This window comes from Homo sapiens, chromosome 3 (assembly GCF_000001405.40).
Source record: "Homo sapiens chromosome 3, GRCh38.p14 Primary Assembly".
Classification (NCBI taxonomy): Eukaryota; Metazoa; Chordata; class Mammalia; order Primates; family Hominidae; genus Homo; species Homo sapiens.
The window spans coordinates 60,328,742-60,341,926 of record NC_000003.12 but is presented as its reverse complement, the minus strand read 5'-3'; the positions used below and the strand labels follow the sequence as shown (position 1 = coordinate 60,341,926).

At 38.5% G+C, this 13,185-nt stretch overlaps 1 protein-coding gene and 1 long non-coding RNA gene across 8 annotated transcripts in view; both read left to right on the top strand.

Moving 5' to 3' along the window:
- Window positions 1-13,185, top strand: part of FHIT (fragile histidine triad diadenosine triphosphatase) — a 1,504,176-nt gene that overhangs the window by 909,526 nt on the left and 581,465 nt on the right. The window lies entirely within an intron of this gene.
- LOC107986015 (uncharacterized) overlaps window positions 1-13,185 on the top strand; it is a 100,472-nt gene that overhangs the window by 14,826 nt on the left and 72,461 nt on the right. For both annotated transcript variants that reach the window (XR_007095935.1, XR_001740433.3), the window contains exon 1: window positions 1-13,185. This exon is cut by the window's left edge and continues 14,826 nt beyond it. This is a non-coding gene — a long non-coding RNA (uncharacterized LOC107986015).

Sequence of the window (13,185 nt, the reverse complement as noted above, 5' to 3'; positions counted from 1 at the left end):
ATGTGACAAGAACCTCGTTTTGGCTGAACTAAGGAACAAAATTCTGCAAGATTACTAAGACCCATGCCACGTACAGGGTTCTGACCCAGGCGGTGCGAATATTTCCCTGGTAGCCTTACACACAGCCTTTGGTTACCTCGCACTAAAATACCCATGAAGACACAAAAAGAAAAAAGAAATTCACTGTAACATCTGTTAAGTTGGAAGTCAATCTAAGTGTAGAATTTGGGAAAGACTGTTGCTAATTATAAAGCAGAGAGACTACATAGAGGCATCTTCTCAGAGATAAGCATATAGCATTTCCTACCTTCAGTCTATTAAAAAAAAAATCAAGAGGGAGAGCAGGAAAAAGCAACCAATGGTGTGTTACCTTCAAGGCATGGATCCCAACAGAGCTTAGAACGCAGTAAAAAGATTTTCTACAAGTAATTATGATTTGTGATAGAAACACATTTTTCTCATTCAATCCTGCCTTTGTCTCCACGTGGGCCTGGTTCTCCAGGCTTCTGTAGAGTTTGTGTATCTATGGGTTTTAAATGCAGTGCTTATTTGAACAGATTTTAATTTCTCAGTTTTTATTTACTCAATTTTTAAACTGTACTGGTTATTTAACCCTTTAAAATTATAAATTCAACATATTATTACAAAATAATACATGCAACGATGAGGCTTAATATAGGTATACCTTACAAACTAAAGTGCTGTGTGGATATATCCAGCTCAAAACAACACACCCCCACGGTGGAATGAGAACGCAGTCATCCTTCTGTGTACTCAAGGATATACTCATCGTATAACAAAATCCGTGAATACTCAAGTCCCGCATTTGGCTCTGTGGATCTGCAGATACCAAAAGTCAGCCATCCAAATATGGAGGTATCATATTCCCCAATGCTATACTATTAATCCATGTTTCATTTAAAAAAAATTCTCATATAGGCCGGGTGCAGTGGCTCACACCTGTAATCCAGCACTTTGGGAGGCTGAGATGGGCGCATCACAAGGTCAGGAGTTAGAGACCAGCCTGGCCTACATAGTGAAACCCCATCTCTACTAAAAATACAAAAATTAGCCAGGCATGGTCCCAGATATTTGGTAGGCTGAGGCAAGAGAATCACTTGAACCTGGGAGGCAAAGGTTGTGGTGAGCCAAGATGACGCCACTGCACTGCAGCCTGGGCAACAGAGTGAGACTCTGTCTCAAAAAAAGAAAAAAGTCCTCCTCATATAAGTGGACACTCACAGTTAAAACCTGTGTTGTTCAAGGGTCAACTGTATATTCTCAATAATTAATTATCCTGCAGCCCATCGTCTTGCATATTCTGACATGTTGCTTAAAATGTTCTCAAGTGATTACATTTGTGTATATTTAATCTTTCTAACCATATAGTTACTTGTCTGAAGTTCAAGTCCTCCCTTGATTTGTATCTGTTCAGAGCAGCTAGTCAAGTCTTTTGCATCTGAAGGGCATGGATGGTGGAAGGGCTGCAGTGGATTACCATTGTCTGCCATGGGCTCCCAAGAACAGTGATCAGAGGCAATGTACCACTTACTTCTAATTCGGTTGTAGGAGATAATACATGTATGTTGATTATGGGAAGAGTCACCAAAGAAAGCCATATGTTTTTCTTCTCGCTTCCTATTTATATAAAAATGTGACCTTACCTTCAACTTCATTTGCAGATGTCTGTTCTTGAAATTTATTTCCTAAAGTTTTTAGTAATGATTTTCAATTACTTAAGGCTGCTGCATTAAAATACAGCAATCATATCACTGTTTCTGTAATAAGTCCTTTATTGCCTTAATTGCTAATGGTGGAACAACTGAGTTCAGAGAAGAAAACTTAAAAAAAATTAAACACCCCTCCATAAAATTTTGAGGCAGAAGAACCTGTGCCAGAGCATAATTTGACATGTTTGCATTTAAAATCAAACCAGAGGTGTCAAAACCCATCTGTTTAGTTAGGTCTTCCAGTGAGTGATTGGCAACTTTCAGAATCTCCTCTTTTGGAAATAAAGATTCTAAGCCTTTAAAAAAAAATCTCAAAGTCTGCAATGGTTCAGGAGAACATTAAAAATGAGCGTGCATAGCAACAAGGTGAGAACATGGCCCACCGTGTTGTCTGTGGATGATTTACACATGGTGCCCAGGAACACCAGAGCTTGAGTTGGTTTCTGTGCACACATCTGTTCCGAAGCACGATGTAGTTAATTTCAGTCACTAGTGTTTTGATTCACAGCTGTTACAAAATAGGGATTCCACTTTTGTCATGTTGGCTACAAATATTTCCTTCTGGCAGATGGGATTCTTCTTTCTGAGGCAGGAAATAAAATTCTAGAGGGTAAATGAGAATAAGTAAGGAGCTTGGGTAAACTGATCGGCTCGCGTCCCTCTGACACGTACTTGAGGTGTTGAGAGCCAACTGTCAACAGAACGCCTATGTGTGCTGAGCAAAGTGTGAGCATAGAATTCCAAGAAGTTACTGCTGCCTGGTAAGTTAATTTTCTTATCTTCCATGGGTGTGTTAGGTGAGAATTAGAAATAAGAGTATTACTTTTAGACGTGGTCTTTGTTTCAGATATGGATTCAGATATGGACTAGAAATATAGTGTGCTGGCTCAAAATGAATCTCTCTTTAATACTGAAGAGGTTTAGGAAAGTTAGTTTACTTTTGGATCCTGAGATCCAAATCAAGAAAGAAAAAAAAGGAAAGAAAAATTGACATCCAAAGAAAATATTTGAAGATCAAAGAGCAAAAATCACTCATTTTATATATAAACACACATATGCATATGTGCATACATACTTACATATTGCATATATTATAGCAATAGATATCATAAAATTATATGTGTATATTCATAAATACATAACAGAAATAGCAAATGTAAAGTTTTACAAACTATATGCCAGATGGTATCTTCTGTGGGTCCCCTCCTTTACACTAAGTCTGTAAAGGAGGCCTTGTTATGTCTATTTCAGGGTTAAGGAAACTGAGGTCATGCAGCTATTAAGTAGTGCGCTGAGGTTTGAGGCAGGCCCATCTGATTCTTTCCATTCCCCAGCCTCTTTTCTCTTTAATTCTGAGGGAAGGCTTAATTTGCAGTTGGTGTTTTGCGTATCAGTTGGTAATTTATGTGCTCTAATAAATAAATAGGCAGTTTATTCCCCATCACAGTACCACCATTATGTGCCATGGTCTTCTGTATTCACTGGTGCTGTTCAGATATGTCATACCATGCAGAAAACCACATGTGCTCTATCTTTCTCAGGCAACATCTAAGTGGTCTAGTAACTGCAAGTCTTTATGTGGTAACCATGCTTTTTGAACTCTTTTTTGGAAGGCAGCATGTGATAAAGGATTTCTATCAATTCTAGGTATAAGAAACAATCTGACATATATACTATGGATGTAAATAAAATACTGGGACCAGACATAGACATGGTGGCGCATGCCTATAATCACAGAACTTTGAGAAGCCAAGGCCTGGTGGAGATCATGCCGCTGCACTCGAGTCTGGGCGCCACAGTGAGACCCTGTCTCAAATAAATAAGTAAATAAATAAATAGGATCTCTAAATAATTAGATGATTTACAGGAATAGAGTTTTTGTGGTATAGATGATTGTGAAAAATCAGGTATATATGCTTTATCATACACTGTTATAGCATTGGACAGGTCTTCGGGCTAGTAGCGATTAATGGGAAAGCTATAGTCTTAAAGTGGAATGTGGTGGAATTTGAGCAATTTCTTCTGATTAATCTTAGTGATGCAGAATATATGTATGCTTCCCTTTATGGAAGATTCTCTAGAAAACGCATTCCATCCTGTCCCCTGCTGCATCTCAGGTATGACACTTCTCTCAAGGTCTCTACATAAATGGGAAAAAAAATTCGAAAAGAAACATTATTTGAAAAATTACCTTACAAATGGAAACTTGGGTGTTCGATTTTTCGAACTGGTAAAAATGCCCAGGCTTGATAGTAATGTGTGACTGTGTATTCCAGGATACACTTCGGTGCCCATACAAAGTACTTCCTGAGTTTGATTGTACCCAGTGACCAGGAATGCAAACTGTTTTCTTTATGGGATTTTCAGACATTCCAGTCCCCCAAGAGTCTTTCTCTGCCATCTCTGGGCTTTATGGAAACCCCAGGTACACCTGTATGTCATGTGGTTTCCCAGAAGCCTTTAGTGTGTCTGTCTTATTTCAGTACTCTCTCCCAGGATCATAACTCAGTTTATCAAAGCAACTCAGTGCAGTGGGGTGTACGAGACAGCACGGCTAACTTGTCCACCATGAAAGCCTCTGAGGGATATGAGTGGTCTGTGGTATTTTTGCCATAGGTTTATGGTTTTGTCACTTAAGTTATGCTTATTTGTATGTGTCATGACAAAACATAACATGTATTTCAAAATTAGTAATTAGCAGCAAAGGAAGAATGATTGCATCATTAAGCATCCCTTTAATTAGAAATGGTGTGTACCAAGAATTATTCAGGCATTACTTCATTTAAATTTTAGAGATGAGGAGACAGTCAGAACACATGCTTACATAGCTAGAAAGTAGTAAAGCCACGAAACCGAGTTTTTCAGATTCCAGAAGCAGGCTTTTAACCATTATTTAACTGTTTTAACTCCCTGATAGAACTTCATGTCTTCCTAGTGGGCGGAAAAAAAAAATAGAGAAGGCACACCTTGCGATTTTTCCTACCTTTCGATAAAAAAGTATGCATTCCCTAATGTAGAGCAGCATAATTTATCACATTAAGGAAAGAATTGTTGTCTCAATTGTGAACTTAGCCCAAGAATAAATGTTGCCAAGCTTACCTCCGTCTTGTAGAAAAGCAAAACCATAATTCATCAGTAATGAATTTTGGTCTGTGTTGTAGTTTGTGTGTGGTCGTGGCAAGTACGTAACCAGTATATATAAATGAAATTTCTGTCCACTGATTTTATTTTCTCTCTGTCTACATCTTCAAGCATAACAGATACACTCATCAAACTGACAAAGAACTTTTTTTTTTTTTTTTGCTTACTTTGACATAATGCAACTGCAGTGAGTTTTTTTAAATAGTCTTAGTCTGCATTCTAGTCACATGCCTTCCTCTGCCCTATTTGCTTCTCTCTTTAAGTTTTCTGAATTGCTAACTTACTGTATGTTATTATCTAATTCAATGCTGTCTAACGGAACTTTCTGCAGTGCTGGAAATGTTCTCCACTGTTCTGTCTACTATGCCAGTAGCCACATGTGGTCATGGACAATGAGGACCTGAATTTCCAATTTTTATTAACTAAAGTTTTGTTAATTTAAATAGCCATGTGTGGCTGGTGGCTACCATATTGGATAGCACAGATCTATTTAGATTTTGGCAGCTGAGGTGATTCTTGAGCACAAAATGTGATAAATGAGATCTTGAAATTTATAAGGGAACTTTAAACTATTTTCAAGTTCCAAAATTTGGGCTATGTTCAAGTGTTCTAGAATAAAGCCATTCTTTAACAGCTGACTTTTAACCACTCTTTTCATAGGCATTCAAGAGACTGATTACTTTTAATCTCCTTTGTAACTAAAGAAGAGCCAAAATGGCGCTCACCTGTCTGAGACTTCCTTTTGGTCAGGGTTTTTGTGCAGGTCTTGAATGTTTCATTTACTTCTGAATCAGCAAAATGTGAGTGCTTTGTATTTGCCATATTAGAGAGAAGTGGCAAAGCAGTGAGCCAAGAAGCAGCCCCAACTTGGTTCGGCTTTTCAGATTACATAGGAGTGCACAGCTTGCTGCTGATGTAAAGCATGTGGAGAGAGCCCATGGAGAATTAGTTTTCTTTCATGATTGAATGCTAATACTTGGTAGTATGTGGAAAAACAGCTTCTTGCTTGTACAGGCCAACAGCTGTTGTTATCTGAAAAATAATCATTATGATAGAAAGCACACTTTTTCATGTTTTCTGTCAGATCTGTCAGAATATGTTCTGTGTTAACATATGCATGTTTCATCTGAGAAAAAAATGTAATTGGTAATTTAATGTATTTTTAAAAATTTTTCTTAGTGGTAACTTGGAGCATACCATTTTTTTTAAGTTCTTTACCAGCACTGTCTAATAGAAAGTAGGTCACCAAAGTAATTCTTACATTTAAGTAAAGAGAAACAGGCATAATTAATTTAATATAGTTTATCCAACCCAATATATCTAATAAATTTTAAAATGTGGTCAATATAAAAACAAGAGGTTTTTGTGTTACTTTTTTGTGTGTGTGTGTGCTGAGTCTTTGAAATCCAGGACATATCTAACACAGCACCCGATTTGGGCTAACCCTGTATCAAGTACCCAATGATGATGTGTGGTGATTGGTTACCCTCCTGAACCGCATACACTGTAGATGCTCATTCCTGGCATAGTGTTTGAATCTGTATGTTTGAATCATAGTGTTTGAATTTATGTGGGTTGTTTGCCCATGTAAATGATGAACTATCAAATGCCAAGCAGAGATCTTCAGTTTATCAGCTATGTTACCTGTTGTCAACTGAATTTAGTCTAAAACCTTGGTCAAGGGGGAAGACAAGGTACAATAATATGGGGATGTTTATAAGAATATACTTACTGCTTAAAATTTTTCTAGATATTTTTGGTGCAATTCAAGTTTTTTTTAAGTTGTGGCAACTTCTGAAGATATTTTAAATTTTAAGTTTATAGGAATTTTGACATTCTTCCCTCTATTTAAACACAAGAGCCATAAAATTGACTATTTTCCTGTGAACTACTTTATTTTTTCCTTTACAAATCAGAGATTATCTTGTGTGAATGTCCTTGTTATAGTGTTATAAAACAACCCTATCCCAATTAACTTCAACTAGTAATTTGGTCTTTTTAATAAAAGTTTACTTCACTATTACATAATTTTGTCCATTTAAAGCAAATTTTGAAAAAGGAAGTTTTGTTGGGTACATTGTATGGGACTATTTTCAGTTGTTGTTAGGAAAATAATTTAAAAAGATTCTGTTTCTTATATACTATAGCCATACAATTTCTTGAATGCAGGTAGAAAAAAAATACACACAGGCTGTACATTAATCACAGATAGTTCGTTTAATCAATATATAGTTTTTTTGTTTGTTGGTTTTGTTCTTGAGATGGAGTCTCTCTCTGTCGCCCAGGCGTCGCCCAGTCTGGAGGGCAGTGGCGTGGTCTCAGCTCACTGCAACCTCTGCTTCCTGGGTTTAAGCAATTTTCCTTTCTCAGCCTCCCATGTAGCTGGGATTACAGGCACACACAACCCCACCTGGCTAATATTTTGTATTTTTGTTAGAGATGGCATTTCACTGTGTTGGCCATGCTGGTCTCGAGCTCCTGACCTCGATGATCCACCTGCCTTGGCCTCCCAAAGTGCAGGGATTACAGGTGTGAGTCACTGTGCTGGCCAATACATCAGTTTTTAAAAGTGAGACACTCAACCCAAGTACTGCAATTCAGGTGGAACTTACTGACTGTTTTGGATTGTTTAAACATCCTCATATAAAGTAAAGTCTAGAGACTCTTGTATTATTAGTTGAGTCCTGAATTTGCTCCTTTAAAATTGGTCTGAGCCTCATTTCCTTGAGTATAAGTAATACAACCTTGTGCCAACTGGGGACTCAGTAACTGTTGGTCAGGCAGATGGATGCTAGAAGTGACTCCAAGTCCAAATCTTTGTACACACTCAGGATTGGCTCAGCATATAACTATACAATTATTTTCAGAGAAACAATATAATAGAAAATATTACATGGTTACTGAAACACCAGGGGTTCAGTCTAGGTCCTTCCATTTGTTTCATAGAAAGCCAGTCACTGAGACAACAAGTATTGCCAAGGAAGAAGGCTTTAATCACATGCTGTAACTGAGGAGATGGGAAGTCAGTGTCAAACCCATCTCTCTCACTGACTAAAATGAGGGGTTTATGTAGGCAGAGAAGAAATGTAACCATGTGTAGGAAAACAGGAATTAGGGAGGGGTAAGGGAGAGAAGTTGATCAACAGGAAGCAGGTGGTCTGTTAGGCAATCATGATGGGTGAGGGATCTGACATCTCATTGTCCAAATACAGTAATCTGGTGAGTTTCAGCTCCTTGATCCTATCTGGGAGGCCTGACGGTTGGTTTCTTGAGAAAGGAACTCAGAAAAGACAAACATAACTTTCTCATGTTTTAAGACTGGGAGAATCAATTTCTATGTTTATTAAAATAAATCATACACATTAGCTCTATGGGACAATTTGGTTGGTTTCAATATGTAGGAATACAGATATTTTAAAAGTATGTAATCTAGGAAAGTAAGTATATATATGACATGCAATATTATGTTTTTTTCTTAATTATATTTTTTCTTTTTAAATTTGCTATAATTTGTAGAAAGGTCACAACAAATAAAGAAGTTTTTAAAAGTTCAATTGGTTTGTAATTCAAAAAAAAAAACAGTTCAAATATGCCTTTTAGGGCACAGTATCTTAACTGTTTCAGCAATACTGTTTTTCACATGTGGAGTTTTTAGTGTAAACTAACTGTATCTACTTCTTGGGCTCCATTAGAAGCAAGGGATCTATGATTTCTTTGGGAAATAGCCTAATGGTTTCATATCTCAAATGATACCTTTGTTTCCCCCTTGACTCATGGGAGAGCAAGAGCACAATTAAATTGATTTTAAATCACATTTAGCATTATGTATCGATTAGATACAAGTGCTCTGAAGCAAATGTCACATTGTTCAGCATTGGATAACAGAAGCAATATGCGCTTTCATTTCTGTTAAGTAATTCAGCCAATGTTATAAGTCATGAGAGTGAGATACACGTGGCTGGTAAATGGCTCCCAAACCTTGTTATTGAAATGCAGCCTTCATTTCAGTTTATTAGCTTGTTCCTTGTTCTCATTTATACTTTATTACCTTGGAATACAGTCATAGTATACTGGAAATGGAGTTTTCTTTAAATAAATTGTTCCTAAAGTTTTTAAAGTCTTTCGTTAAGTGGTGTCTAGGAGCAGACACAATGTCGGCCAATGCAGGTTTTGAGATAAGGGAGGGCAAAAATCTTCCTCTGAGTTGGCTGTGATAGCATCTCTATGTCCCTAACTTGATTTCTGTCATCTTTGTTTCTGGAGAACAAATTCTTGGTTGTGATAGGGATGGAGTGGTGGGGGAAATCAAGGAAGGGATGGCTCAGAAGAGTAGAAGCTGGTTATATAAAGCCTCATATTGTTGAAAACGATTCTCCCCAAAATAGTTGCCTTTTCACATCTAGGGACAGAATAATAGCATTAAGAGGGAAAATCAGTCTTTTGGAGGTTCCCACAGGTTCCACCTGTGTATATGAGATTCAGAAGTAGTGTGATGGTTAACACCCATTCCTAGATCCCACAGCCCTCTGGGGAAAAGAATGATCCAGCTAGTTTGTCTATTTCTGTTGCTGCATGTCCATTTGACACCTAGCTCGTTCTTCATTCATAATCAGTTTCTTTCTGTGATGATACTGTCTGCTCGAATTTTCCTCCATCGTAGATACTCTAGTGTCTGAGCAGATACTCTATAGCCAAGCATACCTCCTTGATCAGGCCAGAGGCTCAGTCATCTTGGGTAGGTTGGAAAGGCAGCAGTGCCACAGATGCTGCAGCCAGGCTACCTGGGTTCAACTTCTGGCTTTATCATTTAGGAGTTTTGAGATAGTAGAAAATTTTCTTAACCTCTCTCATACCATTTTCTGATATCTCAAATGAGGTTAATAGTAGGACATTGCTTCTGGGGTAGCTGTGAATACCAAATAAATTAATATATGTAAAGAGCTAAGGACAGTACCTAGTATAGAATAGATATTTAATTAGCATTAATGAAAGAATCTAGTGGCACTTGTTCTAGTTTGCAGCTCCCTTGTTGGATACACCCCTCATTTTTGTGTACATGGTACACAGAAATGGTGAGGAAGGACAAGTGCATTCAGGACAATTGTACCTTAATAATGTGGGAGAATCATGAGGTACAGATCTTAGGGCATGCTTCCTGGAGTGTCAGTAGAGTATATTTCTTTTCTTTTCTCTCTTTTTTTTTTTTTCCGAGACAGAGTTTTGCTCTTGTTGCCCAGGCTGGAGTGCAACGGCGCAATCTCGGCTCACCACAACTTCCACCTCCTGGGTTCAAGTGATTCTCCTACCTCAGCCTCCCAAGTAGCTGGGATTACAGGCATGCGCCACCACGCCCAGCTAATTTTGTATTTTTAGCAGATACGAGGTTTCTCCATGTTGGTCAGGCTGGTCTTGAATTCCTGACCTCAGGTGATCCACCCACCTCAGCCTCCCAAAGTGCTGGGATTACAGGCGCAAGCCACCATACCCGGACCGAGTATATTTCTATGTTAAAGAATTGGAGTGACAAAGAAGCTACCAAGTCTTCCCAACCTAGGGCAGGCATGAGGGCAGAGTTAGAGATTGCCTAAAATTGTGTTCTTTGTCATCTAAAACATGAATAAGCCAAAGTTCCTGACCCCAAGGTGACTAAGGTCTGATGGGAAAGAGATATGAAAAGGGCAGTTATAATGTATAGAGGAAACATGAAACTTGGCACTTAGGGACATGTGGGGAGAGGGGAACCTATATCCACCCATGGAAAGAATGGAAAAAAAAATCAGGAAAGGGCACTGAGAGGTGCAAGAAACTAGGAGGCTAGCTAAGCTGATGGATGAGTAAAGAAAGGCATTCCAGGCAGAATGGATGAACATCATGTACACAGGCCTGGAGGTAAGGGTACTTCATGAAATCCAGAGTGTCTAGAGCATAGTGTAGGTGAGGAGAAAAGTGGCAGTAGGTGAGTTGGACTTAAGATTGCACAAGACCTTCAACTCCACGCTAAGATATGCAGGGGATTCTGGTGACAGGAGGAAGCCTTGGAAGAATCTTGAAAAGGGAGAGGTTGTGGTCACATTTGTCCCTTAGAAATGGAGGTCTGGCTGCCTTTCAAAGAACTGAGGGATGTGAACAAGACTGTGGTTGGGAGCTTCTGCTTTAAAATATGCACACTCCTGTCTCTGTTTTCCAAGGCACTCATGACTTTGATGTTCCTTTAGCTTAAAGCCATATATAGTCTGCTCCTGGCATTAGGTGACAAGATGTAATTGTAACACGTGTAAATCAGATTTTGCAATCCCGTTCTGTAGACAACCAAACTGAGATTGATGCATTTCCAGTCTTTCACTTCTGTAAAGAACACAGCAGGGAACCACCTTGTACATACATCTTTTAGGCATTTGTCCAATTATTTCCTTAGGATAAATTTCTAGAAACGGGTTTGGTGTTTTAGAGCTTTTGATATATATGGTTCCAGAACAATCTGGATGCCTGAAATCATGGCAGATAAACAGGTGCTGAGTTTCGTGGCCATGCTGAAAGTGCAGACGTAGAAGTGAAATGCACAGTGAACAGTCATGCCTGGATGGGCACACATGCCGAATTTTTGTTTGGATTTCTTTATACCGGTGGTTGTCTCCACCGGTGGCAGTAAGACTCTGCTGGATGAGGACCTAAGACTGATGGGGTGTTTGTCTATAATGACAAGTGCTTGACTGTAGCAGCAAATGATGAGCAGCCCTAGGGAGACATCACCACCCACTTGAGAGAGATCCATGAAGGGTTTATGACCCGTTTGAATCCTGATCGAGCATTGCTGTCTTGACCCTCCAGGAACCAATTGTCTGGAATACTTGCTCTGTCAGTCTGAGTGATGTGCTTAGAATCCCGGGAGCCCAGTTGTTTGTAAAACACAGAGTGAATTATCAAGAAGACTTAGAGACTGGAAATATTTTATTGCCAGATTCCACAGCCATTTGCTAAATGTATTGGTGAGATCATGAAAGCCAACATCCAATATGTTGGATTACCACAATCGGCTATAAGTTATTATTTGAACATATGGGGCAATTAATTTTTAATTTGATGATACCAAATAAAATGGTTTTGTCTTTCCTGTTTGTCTTTTTTCTACATCAGGAGCATTTACTTACCATATAGATGCAAGTCTTTTTCAAAGTTCTGTAGAAATATAAACACACATATAAATTGTTCACTAGTAGCCACAAAGTGTGTGTCTAGTCTTCTGAGAAGTTTCTTAAACTGTCTGGAGGGGCAGAGGGTCTCACAGGAGGTGACATGTAGCTAGAATAGAGGTAAGAGCAAGCTACCAGAGCTGACTGGCTTTGTTCTGATTGCTTCTTTCTGCTTTGAGATCTTTTTGAGAAAAGGCAGGAATGCAGATGGAATAGGTAGAGTCTTACGGTGCTTGGCTTTCTGCTGCTAGTTACTCACCTAACTTCTTTTCCAAATCTTAACCCATTTCCCATGCTATAGATTGTTCCACAGTTAAAAAGAAAGAGGGGTCTGCTTGCCTCAAGCAGCTGGGTTAGGTTCATGACTACAGGTTAAGATACAGCACTGTTATGATTAGTAGTTGCATTGTTCATTGAACAATATTCTCTATTTGCTTTTCTGTCCACTGGTAAAGAATGTCTTGTTAGAATCCTCTAGTAGTGGTTCAGATTGCCAGGGGTCTCTAGTGAGGAACACGGTATTTTCTGTACACAGGGAGGCTGCTTTCAGCTGTTTTTTAAAGCTAATGGCTAATGGCTAGAACACTCAGCTAGAGAACAGTGATCACAAAAGCTTCGATAAATGTTAAAATGGTTAGCTAAATTAGAAAAAAAAAAGTAGAAAATCTCTTGTATAAATAGGTGAGGGGAAACATCAATATTGCTCATTGAACAGTCTATTCTTCTAATTTGAAAAGAACAACTATTTGTCATGGTTCTCATCCTTGAGATGGCAGTTAACTAATTAAATCCATATGAAATTCAAAAGGCTTTGCTAAGGGACAGTAATTTTCCTGGGTTGTTGTTAAAGTTGCTGGGATGAAAGAATTACTTTGAGCAGATAATGGATGGATTCTTCTATTGTGTATTGAGGTCCTGAATCGACTAATCATGCTATGGTTATCCATCAGTGTGTTACCTTATAATTTGAAATTAAAGGCACCATTTTCATTTATTGCTTACTCTAGAGGTAATGCTGCTTCCAATTTGTGAAGACTGTGACCTGGGTGGGAAAACTGCTCCTGGTAAAGACCACAGCATTAATCAAGACACATTTTTGGCTTGGAACAGCTCATTGTATACAG